Genomic DNA, 21,992 nt, shown 5'->3' with positions numbered 1-21,992 from the left:
AGTTGGCGAACGAGGCAGGGGACAAAAAGGACGTGGTCCTTAGAGAAGCCTGTACCTCCTGCCTCTGACTTTGTCCCACTGTAATTGGAGCAAATTTTCACGGCAGGTGCTTTTTCATTCCTTGAGAATCCAGGAGCAGAAGTTCTGAATGAATAGGAAAGTGAGGGATTGGATGAGACTCAGAATCATACCATTAAGGCATTTATTAGACTTAGTAACAGAGGCAAGGAGAATCCACAACAGTTAACAGAATAAATAGAAGTTGCTTTGGGGCTGGGCGCGGTGGCTCACACCTGTAATCCCAGAACTTTGGGAGGCCGAGGCGGGCGGATCATAAGTTCAAGAGATCAAGATCATCCTGGCCAACATGGTGAAACCCCGTCTCTACTAAAAATACAAAAATTAGCTGGGCATGGTGGCATGTGCCTGTTGTCCCAGCTACTAGGGAGGCTGAGGCAGGAGAATCACTTGAACCCGGGAGGCAGAGGTTGCAGTGAGCCAAGATCGTGCCATTGCACTCCAGCCTGGACGACAAGAGTGAAACTCCGTCTCAAAAAAAAAAAAATGTTGCTTTGGGTGTGGCAATGCACAGCCAAACCTGGCTGAGTGTCTTGTTGGGCTCATGAACGGCACCTCCTTTGTTTTAAAGCAGTGGTCGACAGTCTCTTCTGGAAAGCCCCAGGTAGGAAATGCTTCGGGTCCTGGGGGCCAGGTGGTCTCTGTGGCAACTTCTCAACTCTGCAGTTCTAGAGCAGCCGTACACAATCAACAAATGAGCAGAGCAGTTTCTATAAAACTTCATTATGTACTGAGACATTTGAATTTTATGTAATTTTCATGTGCCACAAAATCTTAAAAAACTTTTTACAATCACTTAAAAATGTAAGCTTACATTCTTCTTAGCTTGTGAGCCACACAAAAACAGGCAGTGGGCCAGATGTAGCCCATGAGCCATAGTTTGGGGATCCTAGCCAAGGTATCTGTGTGGTTCTCAGAGCCTGGGGTGGAGAGATGTTCTTTTCCCAAGGGCTGTCAGGTTGAATTCAGTCTCTGAATAGCAGAAAACTTCTTATATGCTGGGAAGAAGCGTCAGTAAGAAAAAGCAGCCTCCGAAGCCTTCGTAGGATCATAGGGCTGGGGGTGCTTTTGCTGAAGGTTTTGACTATTTGATCTCTTTCCTCCCACCCCACCTCACTCCCTTATCCAAAGCTTAGCAAGACTATGCTAAATGGACTCTGAAAATTAGGTACAAGGCTTCAGGTTCAATGCAGCAAGCACCTGCCTCTATCTGCCAAGACCTCCAGGTTGATTGGAGATACTCACTCACTTAAAGTAGGATACTTTATTCTCTTCCTGCCCCACCAGATCTCAGCCTCCTGGCTGGCCTTGTTTGTGATTCTGATAGGTTTTTCCAAGTCAGCTGCCTGAGCTTAAAATGATGGATGGGCTGTGAAGGTCCCTCACACCTGGTGCGTCCCTCCACATTCTCTCCTCCTCCTGTCAACTCTTGAGTCAACCGAAGAACAATATTGAAGTACCAGGGCAGCTGGTGTCCCTGCTGCAAGCTATAGAGGTGGTCCCACACTGAAGGAAGCCTTTGGCATATGACCTTCGGGGGAACTCACCTCCTCCTAGCCAGCAGCAAGAAAAGAGAACTTCTAACATTGGGTTCTTTTGGGCTAATATTGCTCTAAGTCAGCGTTTTTCAAACTTGAACATGCATCAGGCTTATCTGAGTGAGGGCTTGTTCCAGCAGTGGGGCTCGCTGGGCCTCTTGCCTAGAGTCTCAGGTGCAGGGTAGAGCTCATGCACTGACATTTGACCACGTTCCCACGTGGTGTGATGCTGCTGCTCCCAGGCCCACGCTTTGAGAACCACGACTCTAAAGATCCCCTGGGTTCTTTTTTTTGACCCCTGCCCATGTGAACATGTTGCCACTGTGCCCTAAAATTAGGCTGTGGGAAGGTCTAGTACAGTCTGGGCCCTGGCTTGTCCATGTGGGTACATGTCCGTGATGATGAAGCATTGGGTAAATTAGCAGGTAGAACTTGAGAATTAGTCTGCCGGTGCCGTCTTAACGTAGGGATAGCTGGGCACTGCGGCTTACGCCTGTAATCTCAGCGTTTGGAGAGGCTGAGACAGGCGGATCATTTGAGCTCAGGAGTTTGAAATCAGTCTGCGCAACATGGCAAAACCCCGTCTCCACAAAAAAAATACAAAAATATTAGCTGGGCATGGCGGTGCGCACCTCTAGTCCCAGCTACTCGGGAGGCTGAGGCCAGAGGATCACTTGAGCCCAGGAGGTGGAGGTTGCAGTGAGCTAAGATTGCTCCACTGTGCTCCAGCCTGGGCAACAGAGAAACTGTGTCTGAAGCAACAACAAGACAAAAACAAAGAAGTAAAGAGAGTAGAAATGAATAGGAGTGAGAAATGAATGTGGTTCAGCTGGGCTGGCCAGGATGCACCTGAATTGCATATCTATGCAGGTATTTACTTAACCATGTGAGGATAAAAATAATCCTGCCTGAAGAAATTATATCCTCAGGGGGCAGGAACATAAGCCCGTAAACAACACTCTTCCACTCCGAGTTAGAGTTGAGGAAAATGAGGTACTATGAGACCAGTGAAAGCAGCAACTAGGAGTGTTTGTCTGAGCAGGAGGGTTTGCCTACTTTAGGTTTGCCCAGTTTGGATGGAATGCTAAATGTTTGCATGGTCTTTCACGTCTCTTACAAAATGTCCTGAGTAAGATTATTCCATTTTCGATTCCCTTGGGTTTTTTTGTTTGTTCATTTGTTTTTTGAGATGCAGTCTGCTCTGTCAACCAGGCTGGAGTGCAGTGGCACAATCTCGGCTCACAGCAACTTCTGCCTCCTGAGTTCAAGCAATTCTCCTGTCTCAGCCTCCAGAGTAGCTGGGATCACAGGTGCGCACCATCACACCTGGCTAACTTTTGTATTTTTAGTAGAGACGGGGTTTCACCACGTTGGCCAGGATGGTCTCAAACTCCTTACCTCAGGTGACCCGCCTGCCTTGGCCTCCCAAAGTGCTGGGATTACAGGCCTGAGCCACTGTGCCAGGCTGGGTTTTTTTGATTAATAATTTTTTTCTACTGCCCTTTGAGTTACTGAACCATTCCATGAAGAACAAACAGGGCTTACTCAATGGGCTAGTTGAGCTACCAGGAATCCTCCCTAGAAAATGGGACTGCTACTCTATTCCCCATGGTGGAGCTGCTGATGACTGGGGGCCTGGTGTAGAACTTTGGAGCTAAGACTTCCCAGCCAGGTGTGTTCCCATGGTGGAGGCAGAAGCTCTCAGACACAGTTGCGTCTTGATTCTATGCTTTGCAGGATGAGAAAGTGGGTAGGTGTCCCAGGTGAGCCGATAAGGAAATAAAAACAAGGGTCAGGCCTGAGGAACCTTTCCACATTCTTCCTTGAGGACAGTGAGAGAAAGAGCAGTATTCTCAGCTGAGCGAGCACGGTTGACTCATCATCCCGGGGTTGCAACACCAAGAACCAGGGAGTCACTCTTTTGTACCTTTGTCCCTTGGTTTCAGAAGCTGGAAGTCTATTGCGGAGGACACTGGACCCTGGGTTCACCTCATGGATGTGATACAAAGGAGGCTGTGTCAGCCGGGGTGGGGGGGGCCACACCTCTTCTCTCGGCCCCTCTGGTTTTTGGGGTTTAGGATGAGGGCAGCTATGAGAACACAGTTAAAGCACAGGCTCAGCCGTTGGGAAGTGCCACAGCCACGGGGCACAGGGACAGGGTCTTCCACAGAGGCTTAAGAAGGAGGAAGGTCTAGTTCCTCTCCTGGTTCCTAGACTGGAAACTGCTCAAAGCTCCTCACCGGGCTGCGGAAAGGGGTCTCTCATTGGAGAGAGGGTTTAGAGTCCTCCAGGTATGATGTGGGGATATGGAACAACAGGTCCATGTCCAGAGGGAATTTTGGTTCAGAGATCAGATTAACAAATAGAAAATTCACAAAATGTACTTCCATAAGAAGGCTCGTTAAAAGTTCTCAAACTAGGCATTTAGAACTTCTACAATCTGCCCCTAGTGACAAGATTTTATTATAAGCTCTATTAGGACATGGCAGATGTTTATACATTTGAGATGTTCTTGAGGAAATAAACGTTTTTCCTTTTTTTCCATTAAATCAAAACACCTTGCAGAGAAAAGGGAATGCTTATACACTGCTGGTGGGAGTGTAAATTAGTCTAACTATTGTGAAAAGCATTGTGACAACTCCTCCAAGAACTACCATTTGACCCAGCAGTCCCATTACGGGGTATATACCCAAAAAAATATAAATCATTCTACCATAAAGACACATGCACACATATGTTCACTGAAGCACTATTCACAATAGCAAAGACATAGAAGCAACCTAGATACCTGTCAATGATAGACTAAAGAAAATGTGGTACATATACACCACGGAATACTACGCAGCAATAAAAAAACAACAAGATCATGTCCTTTATAGGAACATGGATGGAGCCGGAGGCCATTATCCTCAGCAAACTAACAGGAACAGAAAATCAAACACTGCATTTTCCCACGTATAAGCAGCAGCGAAATGATGAGAACACAAAGACACAGAGGGGAACAACACATACTGGGGCCTACTTGAGGGTAGAGGGTAGGAGGAGAGAGCTGTTTGGAAAAAACCAACTATTAGGTATTAGGCTTAGTACCTAGGTGGAAAAATAATCTGAGCATCAAAACCCTGAGTCACGAGTTACCTATATAACAAACCTGCACATGTACCCCTAAAATCGAAGTTAAAATGGTAAATAAATAATGTTACAAGTTAAAAAAAAAACAAAAATACATCAAGACACCTAAACTCACATGGTGTACTTGTTTGCTATGGTGTCTGTAACAAAAGCACCACAAACTGGGGAATTTGAAACAACAGAAAAGTCTTCTCTCACAGTCCTGGAGGCTGGGAGCCCAGAGTCAAGGGGTCAGCAGGGCCACACTCCCTCCGAAGGCTCTGGGGGTGAAGCCGATCCAGGCCTTTCTCTTGCTTCTGGTGTGGCTGGTGGTCTTTGGCATTCCTTGGCTTGCGGACACACCCCTGCCGTCTCTGCCAGCCCATCTGTCTCTGTGTCACTTTTCCTCTTCTTAGGAGCACTCTACTCACATTGGATGAGGGACCGCCTTGTCCCAGTATGACCTGGTCTTAGCTAATTACAGCTGTAATGATCCTATTTCCAAATAAGGTCAAGTTCTGAGATTGAGAAGGATGTGAATTTGTGGGGGGATGGGCAGGACACTATTCGACACCCCGACATGGTAACAGAAAGTATTCTCTCTGAACTATGTCCATGGCTTATAGATGACTTTAGGTAGAAAACATTTGTAGTGTAAAGATAACTCCACCATGGTCCTCAGCTCGGATGCTATGTCTGGTGACCAGTTCCTTCCCCCAGCAAGACAGATGGGTTTTCTGGTCATAGTTTCTGGTCAACTGTAAACGGTCCACTTAGTAAGAGAGTTGGTACGTAGAAAACAGGCCCCAAAGTGATCTAGGAGACACAGGCGATTTACCTCTAGTTCTAAAAACGACGTTCCCATTCTGTTGATGCGGTACTGTGGACCTGCAGATAAAGTTTCCAGGCAGTCTTCATGTGCAGTGTTTCACTTTTCTGGTTTTTGAAAAATATAGCTGTTTCTGCTATGCATGCTAATTCTAAAATTAGAAGACTGAAAAAAATAAGTCACCTGACATTTTTATGGAGAATTGTTAGAGAATATCTAATGAAATTTAAAATACACACAATATTTTAACAGCATTCTATGTCTAGAACTTTCTTACAGATATTCTTATGATAGGAAAGAGCCATGTGCAACCCAAATATTAGGTTGGTGCAAAAGTAATTGCGGTTTTTGCCTTTTTTTTTTTTTTTTTTTTTTTTGAGATGGAATCTTGCTCTGTCGCCCAGGCTGGAGTGCAGTGGCGCGATCTCGGCTCACTGCAACCTCTGCCTCCCAGGTTCAAATGATTCTCCTGCCTCAGCCTCCCGAGTAGCTGGGATTACAGGCACATGCCACCACGCCCGGCTAATTTTTGTATCTTGTGTAGAGAGGGGGTTTTGCTACCTTGGCCAGGCTGATCTTGATTTCCTAACCTCATGATCTGCCCGCCTCGGCCTCCCAAAGTGCTGGGATTACAGGCGTGAGCCACCGCACCCGGCTTTGCCATTACTTTTAATCTATCATGTGGGCAGAAAACTTGCATTCTGTTTTATACCCTAACGTCATACTTAACCATGATTGTAAAGCATTTTTTTCTAGTCATGATTTACCATTAAAAAAAAAAAAAGTCTGTGTGTGTATAAGTTAGGGTCTTCAACCTCATTGCCTTGAAAAACAACCCTCCAAAAGACCAAGAGATTGGTTCTTTTTTTTTTTTTTTTTTTTTTTGAGACAGAGTCTCACTCTGTCACCTAGGCTGGAGTGCAGTGACACAATCACAGGTCACTGCAGCCTTGACCTCCCTGGCTTAAGCAATCCTCCTGCCTGAGCCTCCCAAGTAGCTGGGACTACAGGCACGTGCCACTATGCCTGGCTAATTTTTGTTATTTTTTGTAGAGGTGGGGTCTTGCCACATTGCCCAGGCTTGTTTCCTTTTAATTTAGCGACATTTATGTATCTTTAGAGTCATTTTCTCCTGTGACAATATACAATATTATTAGGGCCACCGTTTCTGTTGCCTGCTGGGTGTGGGGAGCTGATGCTGTCCCGGAGGCTGGTATCTGCTTCCCTTTGTGTTCTCTCCTCTTTTCTCCTTCTAGAGTCTGCTCTGAGGAAGGGTCTCTCTTCTCTTTAACCTGAGCATATATTTGTTTATTTACCCTCGGCAGTCTGGCATTTAAAGAGAGTCTCACTCTTAGTTCTGAAGGAAAGGTGTTCTTCTAGACTAAAAATATCCAGGTGTAGATCAGGAAGCTAACTTGGAGAGCAAGGGTTGCTGTACTAACAGCCAGGAAAATCATCTCACCTGACTACCCGGCCTCTACCTGAGGCAGGACTTAGGACTGTCCTGAGATCTTTCCTGTTTTGCCAAACAGCTTTGCTGCATGTGAACCCTGGAGCACTCTGTGGTCTGGCTCACCTTTCCCTGAAGCTGAGAGCAGGTTGGAAATCAACTGTCTGTCAGCATGTCCAAAGGTGGCTGGATCCTGGGTCCCAGAGAGATCATTTCTTCCTGAAGGAGGACAGGAATGGCGTTCAAAGATTCATGCCTGTAGTTACAGGAACAAGATGCTGAAAGTTGTAGGTAATTTATAAAACCACGAGAGGTTGGTCATTTCAGGCCTCTTCAGCCTATGATTTTAGATAGTTGTGTGTGGAAACCTTTTTAAAAGCTAGGAGGATATCTGAACCTAAATCAGTAAGTTGTGACTATTGTGGGCAAATTATTTATCCCCCAAAATGCATATGTTGAAGCCCAAAGCCCCAATACCTTGGAGCGTGACCTTATTTGGGAATAGAGTCGTTGCAGATGTAATTCACTATGATGACGTCATACCAGGGTAGGGTGGCCCCTAATTCAATATGAGCAGTGTCCTCACAAAAAGAGGAAATCTGGACTGGACATGGTGGCTCGTGCCCGTAATCTCAGCACTTTGGGAGGCCCAGGTGGGAGGATCACTTGAGACAAGAAGTTTGAGACCAGCCTGGGTAACATAGCAGACCTTGTCTCTACAAAAATTTTAAAACTTAGCCGACATGGCTGCACACGCCTGTGGTCCCAGCTGCCCAAGAGGCTCAGGCGGGAGGATCCCTTGAGCCCAGGAGTTCAAGGCTGCAGTGAGCTATGATCGTGCCACTGCACTGCAGCCTGGGCAACAGAGTGAGACCTTATCTCAAAAATAGCAACAATAATAAAAATGAGTAAAAAGAGGAGATTTGGACATAGACTCATACACAGGGCAAGCGCCACGTGAGTATGGTGGCAGAGGTGGAGGTGATGTTCTTACAAGACGGGGAACACCAAAGCTGGGCCTCAAAGCACCAGGAGACAGGCCCAGGACAGATTCTCCCTTGCGTCCTCTGAAGGACCCAACCCTGCCGACCTCCATCTCAGACTTCCGGCCTCCAGAACTGTGAAAGGCCACATTTCCATGTTGTAAGCCACGCGGTTTGAGGCACTCTGTAAGACAGCCCTGGCAAACTCCTACACTGACCAGGAGCTGTCCCCAGGCTGGAGCCATGGACACCCAAGCTGAGGGAGGAACTGTCTTAAAGGAAGGTGAAGGCAGGCTGTCCAGCACACGACAGATGGCGACAGACTTTGCATGGAAGAGGTACAGGCAAGGCAGCTCATGACCCATGTAGGCGGGAAAAGCAGCCCTGTAGCAGCAGGGGCTGGCGACAGGTAGGAGGTGGCTCATTGCCAAGGAGCCGGGGCCAGGCTGCGGCTGAGTGGTTTTGTGTTCCATGTCTCTCTTGTGAGGGTGCTGGGCAGAAAGCTCCCCCACCGCCTCACCAGAATCCTCGGGGGTCCTGAGGGAGGTGGAGCCCCTCACGGCCTTCCCATTCTCTTGTGTTCTGGGAGGACCACCAGGCGTCTGCTGAGACTCAGGTCAGCTGCAGTCAAGCCTTGGCCCAGTGGCCCACGTGCAAGGTCCGCAGGGCTAGGCTGCTGTCCACATGGCAACACACCCAGTCACTTGATAAACCCACAGTCTCCCTTCAGCACCAGTTTCCCCACATGGTTTCTAAGTTAGTTTCCTGCCGTTAGGGGTTAGTGAGATTTCTTCATTCTTGGAGTCTGATACCTCATTTGCTTTGAGCAAATGGCATTCAAAAACCACACATCAGCATGTTCTGTGTTTATGGCCCTGTTTGTTTATGGATTAGAGGAACTGCAGCAGCTTCCTAGTGGGGAAGAAAGTAGCCGTGGAAAAGGAGGCCTTTTTTTTTTTTTTTTTTTTTGAGACGGAGTCTCCCTCTGTCACCCAGGCTGGAGTGCGGTAGTATGATCTCAGCTCACTGCAACCTCCACCTCCTGGGTTCAAGCAATTCTCGGGCCTCAGCCTCTTGAGTAGCTGGGATTACAGGCATGTGGCTACATTTTGTATATTTAGTAGAGACGGGCTCTCACCATGTTGGCCAGGCTGGTCTGAAATTCCTGGCCTCAAGTGATCCACCTGCCTCGACCTCCCAAAGTACTGGGATTGCAGGAGTGTAGCTAATTTTTGTATGTTTAGTAGAGATGGGGTTTCACCATGCTGGCCAGGCTGGTCTCAAGCTCCTGGACTCAAGTGATCCCTCCGCCTTGGCCTCCCAAAATGCTGGGATTACAGGTGTGAGCCACCGTGCCTGCTCCTGAAAAGGAGGCTATTTCTATGAAGAGCAGTTGAGGATGGGCACAGCCTGGGTGCCGGCTATGCCTTCATGGCGGTCCCAGCAGGAGGACCCCTGGTATGGAATGCAGCCCATGCTCCAGTCACCAGCAGTGCAGCCATCAGGGACACTTTTTCTGATTGGATTGAGTGGCCCTCGCTCACTTGTCAGGCCAGGCCCCACTGGGCTGCATCCGGCCTAGAAGCCCACACTTTTCTAATCCACACCAGAATGCTGGGTGGACAAGCAGAGTCCCCGAGGGTGGGAAAGGTGGCAAAACATTCAAATCCAAGAAGAAAAAAAAGCATCAAGCTGGGCAAGAAACAGCCTCAACAAGAGCCACTCCAGAAACAAGGGCTTTGGGTTATAGGCGCTGAATTTCTTCTAAAGCTAACCTGACTCTGATGCTAGAAGAGCCCATTTAAGGAAAGAAAAACACTTTTCATTGCTCGATCAAAGTTCATCCATTTTGGAAAAGACATCAAACCAAGTGTGTGACACCAGGCACCCATATCCTTCCTCTTTCCCACCACCCCACCCCTGTCCTCAGGGCAGTGACAGTGAAGCCTGGTGCAGGTCCCACTGCTGCTTTTTGAAGTGGCACATGCTTTATTTTCTTAAAAAGAAGTGAGAGACAACCTATGCTACAGGAGGCTCTGTGACGTTTTTCTGAAGTACAACCCCTTGCTCTGCCAGGGCAGCTGTAAAGGGTCTAAAGAGCCCTGAGAAAGGAGAGAGGATTTGGGAAGCCGAGGAGGCAGAGGGAGACCACATAGCACATGGAGTTCTGAAAGGGCCCAAGTGGAGACAGAAAACGAGTCATGTGGATGGACAGCTGGGGTGGAGGAGGATGGAGCCACAGTCAGACCCTGGGGGGCCTTGAATGCCGGGCCTAGGAGTAGGGCTTCACCTGCAGGAAGGAGAGAGCACGCAAGGTTTGGGAGCAAGGTTCTCCACTGGGGGAAGCTCAGGTTGCTGGTGTGGACGGTGGACAGTCCAGGTGGAGTGCGGAGCACAGCGGGTGACCCTGGACAGGGGCCGTGCCTAGCAAGCACCTCCCTGCCCCAGGCATGTTTCTGCATCAGCTCACTAGCATGGCTTCGGAGTGACAGGACCTTCACTCTCCCTAGCTCCTGCCTGGTGCACACTATAGCAACCTCCACCCAAAAAGCAGTTTGAAAGACAATATAAGGCTTGTCATGATGGCTTGTATTTGAGAAGACCGCTTTGCTCTGGTCCACACCATCCTCATCCCCATGGTCTGACTTCCAGCGTGACATCATCGGCACTTCTACTTTGGGTCAATGTAATTGACCCTGGAGGGGGCTCTTTCTTCTTTGATGGCTACCTCCTCACCTCTGCCAGGGGTCCCCCATGGTAAATTCTTGTCGTATTTTAAGTCAGTCCATTCTAAATGTCCATCCATACTCAATTAAGAATCTGCCAAGTTGTCTTCCTGAGATGAAGTGAATAAAAAACCTTATTTTATTCATTGTAGATTCAATCTTATTAACTAACTTTCAGAGAAAGTGGTAGATTGTGTCAGTTTGTTCTTGCAGTAGTATAAAGAAATACATGAAACCGGGTAATTTATAAAGAAAGAAGGTTTAATTGGCTTATGGCTCTGCAGGCTGTACAGGAAGCATGGTGCTGGCATCTGCTCACTTCTGGGGAGGGCTCAATCATGTTGGAAGGTGAAGGGGGAGCAGGCATGTCACATGGCTGGAGTAGGAGCAAGGAGTGAGCAGGGAGGTGCTACATACTTTTAAACAACCAGATCTCATGAGAACTCACTATTGTGAGGACAGTATCAAGGGAGAGGGTGCTAAACCATTCATGAGAAACTGTCCCCATGATCCAGTGTCCTCCCCCAGGTCCCACCTCCAACAATTGAGCATTATATTTCAATATGAGATTTGGGCAGGGACATGCATTCAAACTGTATCATTCCCCCTGGCCTCCCCAAATTTCTTGTCCCTCTCACATTTCAAAATACAAGCATGCCTTCCCAATAATCCCCCAAAGTCTTAACTCATTCCAGCGATAATGCAGAAGTCCAAGTCCAAAGTCTCATCTGAGGCAAGGCAAGTCCTTTCCACCTATGAGCCTGCACAATCAAAAACAAGTTACTCTAAGATACAATGGGAGTATAGGCATTGGGTAAACATTCCCATTCCAAAGGGAGAAATCATCCACAAGCAAGGGGCTACAGGCCCCACCCAGGTCCAAAATCCAGCAGGGCAGGCACTAAATCTTAAAGCTCCCAAATAGTTTCCTGTAATTCTATGTCCCACATCCAGGGCACATTGATCCAAGAAGTGGGGTGCCAGGGCTTTGGGCAGCTCTGCCCCTGTGGCTTTGCAGTGTTCAGCTCCAGAGGTTGCTCTCACATGTTGTTGAGTGCCTGTGGCTTTTATATGCTGAGAGTGCAAGATGTTGGTGGATCTACCATCCTAGGGTCTGGAGGATGATGGCCTTCTTCTCACAGCTCCACTAGGCAATGCCTCAATGGGGACTCTGTGTGGGGGCTCCAACCCCACCTTTCCCCTCCATACTGCCCTAGCAGAGGTTCTCTGTGAGTGCTCCGCCCCTGCAGCAGGCTTCTGCCTGGACATCCAGGCTTTTCCATATATCCTCTGAAATCTATGCAGAGACTCCCAAGCCTCCCTCACTTTTGCAGTCTGTGCGCCTGCAGGCTTAACACCATGTGGAAACCACCAAGTCTTATGGCTTGCACCCTCTGAAGCAGCAGCCTGGGCTGTATCTTGGGCCCTTTGAGCCAAGGCTGGAGCCTAAGTGGCTGGGATGTAAGAAGCAGTGTCCTGAGGCTGCATAGGGCTGTGGGGCCCTGGGCTGGCCCATGAAACCATTCTTCCCTTCTAGGCCTCTGGGCCCTGTGATGGGAGGAGATGCCAGGAAGGTCTCTGAAATTCCTTAGAGGCCTTTACCCCATTGTCTTGAGTGTTAGCACTTGACTCCTTCTTAGTTATGCAAATATCTCTGGCAAGTGGTTGCTCCACAGCCTGCTTGAATTCCTCTGCTGAAAAAGCATTTTCTTTCTCTGCCACATAGCCAGGCTATAAATTTTCCCAACTTTTACACTCTACTTCCCCTTTAAATATAAGTTCTAGCTTTAAGTCATTTTATTTGCTCCCACCTATGAGCATAGGTTGTTAGAAGCAGCCAGGTCACATCTTGAATCCTTTGCTGCTTAGAAATTTCTTCTACCAGATATCCTAGGTCATTGCTCTTAAATTCAAACTTCCACAAATTCCTAGGGCATGGACACAATGCAGCCAAGTTCTTTGCTAAGACATAACAAAAGTGACCTTTGCTCTAGTTCCCAATAAGTTCCTCATTTCCACCTGAGACCTCTTCAGCCTGACCTTCACAGTCCATGTCACTATTTGCATTTTGATCACAACCATTTAGACAGTTTCTAAGAAGTTCCAAACTTTCCCTCATCTTCCTGTCTTCTTCTGAGCCCTCCACATTCTTCTGACCTATGCCCGTTCCAAAGCTCTTCTACATTTTCAGGTATCTTTATAGCAATGACCCATTCCTCAGTACCATTTTTCTGTGTTAGGCCATTCTTGTATTGCTATAAGGAAACACCTGGGTAATTTATAATGAAAAGAGATATAATTGGCTCACGGTTCTGCAGGCTGTACAGGAAGCATGGCAGCATCTGATTCTGGTGAGGCCTCTGGAAGCTTCAAATCATGGCAGAAGGTGAAGAGGGAGCAGGCATGTCACATGGCAAAAGCAGGCGTGAGGGGAGGGGGAGGCTGCTACATATTTTATTTCCTTTTTTTATTATTATACTTTAAGTTCTAGTGTTCACATATTCACAATGTGCAGGTTTGTTACATATGTATACATGTGCCATGTTGGTTTGCTGCACCCATTAACCCGTCATTTACATTAGGTATTTCTCCTAATGCTATACCTCCCCAAACTCCCCACTCCATGACAGGCCCCAGTGTGTGATGTTCCCCACCCTGTGTCCAAGTGTTCTCATTGTTCAATTCCCACCTATGAGTGAGAACATGAGGTGTTTGGTTTTCTGTCCTTGCGACAGATGCTTCAGAATGATGGCTTCCAGCTTCAACCATGTCCCTACAAAGAACATGAACTCATCCTTTTTCATGGCTGAATAGTATTCCATGGTGTATATATGCCACATTTTCTTAATCCAGTCTATCATTGATGGACATTTGGGTTGGTTCCAAGTCTTTGCTATTGTGAATAGTGCCACAATAAACATACGTGTGCATGTGTCTTTATAGTAGCATGATTTATAATCCTTTGGGTATATACCCAGTAATGGGATGGCTGGGTCAAATGGTATTTCTAGTTCTAGATCCTTGAGGAATTGCCACACTGTCTTCCACAATGGTTGAACTAGTTTACACTCCCACCAACAGTGTAAAAGTGTTCCTATTTCTCCACATCCTCTCCAGCACCTGTGGTTTCCTGACTTTTTAATGATCGCCATTCTAACTGGTGTGAGGTGGTATCTCATTGTGGTTTTGATTTGCATTTCTCTGATGACCAGTGATGATGAGCGTTTTTTTATGTGTGTGTTGGCTGCATAAATGTCTTCTTTTGAGAAGTGTCTGTTCATATCCTTTGCCCACTTTTTGATGGGGTTGTTTGATTTTTTTCTTATAAATTTATTTAAGTTCTTTGTATATTCTAGATATTAGCCCTTTGTCAGACGAGTAGATTGCAAACATTTTCTCCCATTCTGTTGGTTACCTGTTCACTCCGATGGCAGTTTCTTTTGCTGTGCAGGAGCTCTTTAGTTTAATTAGATCCCATTTGTCTATTTTGGCTTTTTTTGTCATTGCTTTTGGTGTTTTACTCGTGAAGTTCTTGCCCATGCCTATGTCCTGAATGGTATTGCCTAGGTTTTCTTCTGGAGCTTTTATGGTTTTAGGTCTAACATTTAAGTCTTTAATCCATCTTGAATTAATTTTTGTATAAGGTGTAAGGAAGGGATCCAGTTTCAGCTTTCTACATATGGCTAGCCAGTTTTCCCAGCACCACTTATTAAATAGGGAATCCTTTCCCCTTTCTTGTTTTTGTCAGGTTTGTCAAAGATCAGATGATTGCAGATGTGTGGTGTTATTACTGAGGGCTCTGTTCTGTTCCATTGATCTATATATCTGTTTTGGTACCAGTACCATGCTGTTTTGGTTACTGTAGCCTTCTAGTATAGTTTGAAGTCAGGTAGCGTGATGCCTCCAGCTTTGTTCTTTTTGCTTGGGATTGTCTTGGCAAAGAGGGCTCTTTTTTGGTTTCATATGAACTTTAAAGTAGTTTTTTCCAATTCTGTGAAGAAAGTCATTGGTAGCTTGATGGGGATGGCATTGAATCTATAAATTACCTTGGGCAGTATGTCCATTTTCATGATATTAATTCTTCCTGTGCATGAGCATAGAATGTTCTTCCATTTGTGTGTGTCCTCCTTTATTTCATTGAGCAGTGGTTTGTGGTTCTCCTTAAAGAGGTCCTTTACATCCCTTGTAAGTTGGATTCCTAGGTATTTTATTCTCTTTGAAGCAATTGTGAATGGGAGTTCACTTATGATTTGGCTCTCTGTTTGTCTGTTATTGGTGTATAGGAATGCTTGTGATTTTTGCACATTGATTTTGTATCCTGAGACTTTGCTGAAGTTGCTTATCAGCTTAAGGAGATTTTGGGCTGAGACTTTGGGTTTTTCTAAATATAAAGTCATGTCATCTGCAAACAGGGACAATTTGACTATTCAATTCTTTTCCTAATTGAATACCCTTTATTTCTTTCTCTTGCCTGATTGCCCTGGCCAGAACTTCCAACTCTATGTTGAATAGGAGTGGTGAGAGAGGGCATCCCTGTCTTGTGCAAGTTTTCAAAGGGACTGCTTCCAGTTGTTGCCCATTCAGTATGATATTGGCTGTGGGTTTGTCATAAATAGCTCTTATTATTTTGAGATACGTCCCATCAATACCTAGTTTATTGAGAGTTTTTAGCATGAAGGCTGTTGAATTTCGTCAAAGTCTTTTCTTCATCTATTGAGATAGTCATGTGGTTTTTGTCTTTGGTTCTGTTTATGTGATGGATTACGTTTATTGATTTGCATATGTTGAACCAGCCTTGCAACCCATGGATGAAGCCAACTTGATCATGGTGGATAAGCTTTTTGATGTGCTGCTGGATTCGGTTTGCCAGTATTTTATTTTATTGAGGATTTTTGCAGTGATGTTCATCAGGGATATTGGTCTAAAATTCTCTTTATTTGTTGTGTCTCTGCCAGACTTTGGTATCAGGATGATGCTGGCCTCATAAAATGAGTTATGGAGGATTCCCTCTTTTTCTATTGATTGGAATAGTTTCAGAAGGAATGGTACCAGCTCCTCTTTGTACCTTTAAATTCGGCTGTGAATCCATCTGGTCCTGGACTTTTTTTGGTTTGTAGGCTATTAATTATTGCCTCAATTTCAGAGCCTGTTATTGGTCTATTCAGGGATTCAATGTCTTCCTGGTTTAGTCTTGGGAGGGTGTATGTGTCCAGGAATTTATGCATTTCTTCTAGATTTTCTAGTTTATTTGCATAGAGGTGTTTATAGTATTCTCTGATGGTAGTTTGTATTTCTGTGGGATCAGTGGTGATATACCCTTTATCATTTTTTATTGCGTCTATTTAATCTCCTGGTGTGCCATTTGCTAAGACCGTTGGAAAAGTGCAGTATTAAGGCAGGAGTGTCCCACTTTTCCTGGTACAGTCTTCCCTTGGCTAGGAAAGGGAAATCCCCTGACCCGACCCCTTGTGCTTACCAGGTAAGGCGATGCTCCACTCTGCTTCAGCTTGCCCTCCGTGGCTGCACCCACTGTCCAACCAGTCCCAGTGAGATGAACCAGGTTCATCTCAGTTGGAAATGCAGAAATCAGCCATCTTCTGTGTTGATCACGCTGAGACCTGCAGACCAGAGCTGTTCCTATTTGGCCATCTTGGAAAGGGGAGCTATATCGATGATACATACTTTCAAATAACCAGATCTAAGGCTGGGTGCAGTGGCTCATGCCTATAATCCCAGCACTTTGGGAAGTTGAAGTGAGTGGATCACTTGAGGCCAGAGTTCAAGACCAGCCTGGCCAACATGGTGAAACCCCGTCTCTACTAAAAATACAAAAATTAGCCAGGCATGGTGGCACACACCTGTAATCCCAGCTACTCAGGAGGCCGATGCAGGAGAATTGCTTGAACCCGGGAGGCGGAGGTTGCAGTGAGCTGAGATTGCACCACTGCTCTCCAGCCTGGGTAACAGCGTGAGACTCCATCTCAAAAAATAAAATAAAATAAAACGACCAGATCTCACAAGAACTCACTCACTGTGGTGAGGACAGTACCAAGAGGGATGGTGCTAGACCCCTGTGATTCAATCACCTCCCACCAGGCCCCACCTCCAGCTTTGGGGATTACATTTCAATATGAGATTTTGGTGGGGACATACATGCAAACTATATCGCAGATGAAGAAATGGAAGCCCAGAGGGTAAGCACCTTGATCAAGGCCACATGGCTAGGAGGAATATCTCTACACTGAGGTTCGATCTCCTGATTCCCAAAAGCCCATGTCTTTCCACTGGCTAGATGCAGGGGCAATACTGAGAAAATTCTCTCCTTAACTGAAAAACCACTTTTGCCATTAGCAAGGCCAAGCTGTGTTCTTGCAGGGACCATTGGCTTCCTGGGGCTTTTGTGGGACCAACTTTGTCTACTTTACTCCTTTACCCTTGGCTTAGGAAACCATTTTCAGAGGAAGCACCAGAGCTTAGATTCTGCCAAATCCAGTTTAAAAGCCAGGTGCCAGGTATGCACTTCTAAGCTCCAAGTAGAAAAATATAGTTTAGGAAAAAATTAATAAAGAGAGCATTTTACCAACAAATAAAATGTGGCAGGAATTTGAGTCTTACTTATATGTAAGTAGTGATTATAAAGACCTGTATTTACAGAGTTTGGGGCAAACCTATGTGTATTAGTTTCTAATTACTGCTGTAACAAAAAAACCACAAGCTTAGTGGCTTCACACAGGTGTCTTCTTGTAGTTCTGGAGGTCAGAAGTCCAAAATGAATTTTACCGGGCTAAAATCAAGGTGTCGGCAGTGCTACCTTGAAAGGCTCTCGGGGAGAACCCTACTTGTCTTTTCCAGCTTCTCCAGGCCACCACATTCCCTGACTTGGGGACCCCTCCCCCAACAATTGCAGTCACTCCCCTGCTTTTCACCTTTTCTGACTGATTTTAGGACTCTTGTGATTATATTGGGTCTGTCTGGATAATCTAAGATAAACTCTTTATCTCAAGGCCCCTAACTTAATCACATCTGCAAGACCCTTTTGCCATGGGAGGGAACGTATCCCTGAATCCCAGAGATTACGACATGGACATCTCTAGGGGACCACCATTCTGACCACCACACCTTGAAAGTTCAGAAACACGTCCTCAAAGCAGTATGTGAAACTTACAGTATTCCTTCAGTTTCACTCTTGGTAATGGTAGGAAACAGTTATCTCTCTGCCTGAAAGGGAGGCCTTCTCTCTTAGACCTCAGCAAAATGCCTCATTCCTTCCAACTTCCGAAGTCCAACTCCTAGAGATGCACTCTCGGCAGCCTTCAGTTGCTGAGGGAGTTATTAATTTTTAGGTAATAAGACTTCAAAGTTAGAGTTTCCATCCTGAAATGGTTCAAAATATGGAGCATGCTTTATATAAATAGTAGGAAATATTCATATGGATGGGAGATTTTATTGAGTCGTGCGGAAGAGGGGAGTCTCTTGTTTTCTCCTGTGTTCCCTGTCCCCCCCAACCCCCAAGTCAGTAATCATATAAATGTATAATATACACTTATTTCATCAAATTATTTAGCAAAAAGAAAGCAAAACCACTTCTGGGCCTAGAATAGCAAGAAGAGCCTGTGTTTATTCAGTGATTGCAATGTGTTGGGTGCTAAGGAACAGTCCTATGGGAAGTCCAGATTCTAAGCTGGGTTTGGCTCTGATCATAGTTCAACACAAGGGACCCCAGAGTAATACTAGAAACATTAGGCTACTCAAATATGCCTCTGAGGTTTACTAGCAGGGAACCAACGTAAACAGGACTGCACCAAAGTAAACAGAATCTTGTGAGAGTTGATACTTGAGTTCGGTCTGAAGTCTCGATGTAAACACCACTTCTGCATTTGAGCTTTCTAAGATAGCAATCCTGTTGACACAGGTACATTAAGATAAGAAATGCTGACTGCAGTGTTACACCCAGTAGATAGCTCTGGATTCTGTCAAAGAGTTTAGCAACCTCTGCCCTGTAATAATAAAAGCAGTTCTTGGAATACACACTTTCAGAAAACAAAATGCCTTCTTGGTAATGGCTGGGTACTGAGTCTCAGATTTACACTTCAAGGGATTGCCTTTCCCATAATTTAGTTAGGTGTATAATGATTGTTAAGACCTAAGCTTTCTGAATGACCTCTTTTCTGTAACTGTAGTGGGTTGGAGTAGAGAAAAACTTTACCACTATTAAGCAAATAACAGGTACAAAATATTGAGCAAAGACAAAAGGACGACTCTGGAAAGATGAAGTCTTTCCCTGCAAATAAAAATCCGGGGAACACAGGAAAGGAAGGTTTGTGATGAAGCCCTGGGAACACAGGGAAGGAAGGTTTGTGATGAAGCCCCGGGCTCTCTCTGCTGGATTTGGGTGATTTGGGTTTTCAGAGCTCGCTCCTGCTTCCCTGAAGAGGGCCAAGGATAACAGGGACCTTTCTGTGACTTCACCTCTCTCGTTGGCTTTGGGAGGCAATGGTAAGGCCATATTACCCAAAGTCTAAGTAGGCGAAGCATAACGTGCTGTTGCCGTGTCCTCAAGAACGCACGGCACTACAGCAATGACGCTTTGCACCTTCAGGCTGGTTTGCACCGAGCTTGCAAAACACACGCTTGCCCGACCAGCCCTTCCTATTCGCCGGACACTGGCGCTTTCCCTGCCTGGTGTGAAAGACAGCCCAAGTCCACAGCAGGTGCGCTGCCTCACCACGGACCTCCCAGGACACAGAGGCCATGCTCAGCACAGGAGGGCTTGGTCACAGAAAGATGCCGCTGTGGACGGGCACAACAAATGGTAGTGTGGCACCTGGGCCTGCAGCAGCCTCCCTGTTGCCCCCTGGCCTGCAAGATGAGGGGAAGGAACCGCTACTGAAACCTGGAAGGAAAGAGTTGTGTGGGAAGGGCTGACGTCAGAGAAGCCGTGACTGTCACTTGAAGTGACGGTCCGAGGTGACCTTGCAGGGAGGGCACCAGAAAAACAAATACCCCAACGTTTCTTCCCTCCCTCTGATCTTCCCAGGGCTCCCTGTTGGCCAAAGGACCTGGGAGCTAGGTCGAGACCCGGGACATGGATGAGCTCCTTGCAGGTCAGCCTGGGAGCTGAAGAAGAAGGACGGTCCTGGAAGGGCCCACGGGACCCACCATGCAGAGCTGGATCTGAGCACTGTGCTCTGTGACTGATAAACGGGGCCTTAGGAAACGTGTCCCACAAACACTGAATTTCCCCTCTGTGGGAAGCGGCGCGGAGGCGCTGAGGACCCTGAGGCAGTCGCGTCTCCCCCGTAACGATGCACTGAGGGCTGTGGGGTTCGCAGGACTCTTCCAGCAACCCCGCAGGGCGGAGGTCATCCTCATTTGGTTGTTCGGCTGGCCCGAAACAGATGGGCTCACCCGCCATGCAGCTGGCAGGTCCCAGCATGAAACTCGGCCGCAGGGCTGACTCCATGGCCCTCGCTCTTGGTGTATTGCCCTGGAAGCAGCCCCATCCCACGACAGGTCTCACTCGGCAGGAAACCAGGTTATTCGTGCGGAGGAATCTCTGTCCAGAACTCTAATAGGCAGGAAGAGTTGGGAACTGGGGTCCTGTGAAACCAGTACAGTGTATTTCCCCCTTAGGACAAGGACTAAAAAGAGCATCTAAAATGCCCCTTCCCCTCCCCTTCCCCTCCCCTTCCCCTCCCCTTCCCCTCCCCTTCCCCTCCCCTTCCCCTTCCCTTCCCCTTCCCTTCCCCTCCCTTCCTTTTTTTCTTTTTTGAGACGGAGTCTCGCTCAGTTGCCCAGGCTGGAGTGCAGTGGTGCGATTTCAGCTCACTGCATCCTCCGCCTCCCAAGCTCAAGCGATTCTTCTGCCTCAGCCTCCTGAGTAGCTGGCATGCACCACCACGCCCAGCTAATTTTTGTATTTTTAGTAGAGACAGGGTTTCACCATGTTGGCCAGGCTGGTCTCCAACTCCTGACCTCAAGTGATCTGCCCACCTCGGATGGAGGTGTGAGCTACCACGCCCGGCCCTAAAATGCTCTTAAGTGGGCAAAAATGCAAGACCATCTGGTAGGAGGCCCCTGGGGCCACGCCGAGCTGCAGGAGTGGAAATAACACCAGCACAGGCTGACAGATCAGGAGGGAAGGCGCCTGCCCAGGAAGAGGTGGTGAAGCCTGGAGGGCCCCGTGGTCAGGGTCGGGAAGGGAGTTCCTCTGCCAGGGTTGTGGCTTTGTTTATTGTGGGATAGGGCTTTGAACTTGCACATAATGAAAATATAAGGCAGTAAATCTGCAAGGAAGGGCCCCAGAGGGAAACGATGTGGGAGATGGAGGAGGGTGCTGTGGTGGAGGCTTCCGCATGCTGTATGGCTCCTGTATTCGGTGTCTGCTCTGGATAGCTGGCGTGGTCTTTCTGGCGTTTGGAACCAGGGAAGTGATAAAACTCTCTTATGTAGAGCCATTAGGCAGCAGGACATCACAGCCTGCATGTGGTCCTCCAAGTGTAGTCCCCAGACCAGCATCATTGACATCACCTTGACTCTTGTTAGAGATGCAAATCTCAGGTGCAGAGAGAAGTCAGTCTTCTCAAATACCAGCCACAGAGGCAGGCCTTGCCTTCCAGTTGAGCTGCTTTTCATATGGGCAGCTCTGCTGCTGCTCGAAACACTGGGGTTGCCATAGGGCTTTAAGGATTTAAAAAGTTGTTATGGATACATAATAATTATATATATTTATGGGGTACATATGATTTTTAATAGAGGTACACAATATTAATATTAATACAATATTTTACAGTTAATATCAAATCTGGATTTAATATTAATATTAATACAATATTTTACAGTTAATATCAAATCTGGGTATTTGGAATATCCGTCACCTCAAACCTTGATCATTTCTTTGTGTTGAGAACATTCCAGATCTGCTATCTATTCTGTTTGTTTTTTGTTTTGGGGCTTGTTGTTTTTTTTTTTTTTTTTTTTTTTTTTTTTACAGAGCCTTACTCTGTGGCCTAGGCTGGAGTGCAGTGGTGTGATCTTGACTCATTGCAACCTCCACCTCCCAGGTCCTAGCAATTCTCCTGCCTCAGCCTCCCAAGTAACTGGGATTACAGGCGTGTGCCACCATGCCCAGCTAATTTTTGTGTTTTTAGTAGAGATGGGGGTTCACCATGTTGGCCAGGCTGGTCTTGAACTCCTGACCTGAAGCGATCCGCCTACCTCAGCCTCCCAAAGTGCTGGGATTACAGGTGTGAGCCACCGCGCCCAGCCTCTATTTTG

The 21,992-nt window shown here is 46.7% G+C and overlaps 1 protein-coding gene across 1 annotated transcript in view, besides 1 other annotated feature; it reads left to right on the top strand.

Annotated features, from left to right (window-relative positions):
- The window catches only part of SLC15A1 (solute carrier family 15 member 1), a 68,872-nt gene that overhangs the window by 1,991 nt on the left and 44,889 nt on the right, over positions 1 to 21,992 (top strand). The window lies entirely within an intron of this gene.
- Positions 12,057 to 12,599: an enhancer, noted in NCBI's record as "OCT4-NANOG hESC enhancer chr13:99390337-99390879 (GRCh37/hg19 assembly coordinates)". NCBI's record gives its function as "activates a minimal SCP1, AML or CMV promoter by ChIP-STARR-seq in naive H9 embryonic stem cells {active_cell/tissue: H9 hESC(naive)}" and the evidence as "EXISTENCE:reporter gene assay evidence [ECO:0000049][PMID:30033119]".

The sequence above is a fragment of the Homo sapiens genome, chromosome 13 (assembly GCF_000001405.40).
Source record: "Homo sapiens chromosome 13, GRCh38.p14 Primary Assembly".
NCBI classification, from domain to species: Eukaryota; Metazoa; Chordata; class Mammalia; order Primates; family Hominidae; genus Homo; species Homo sapiens.
This window is presented reverse-complemented; position numbering and strand designations above follow the sequence as displayed.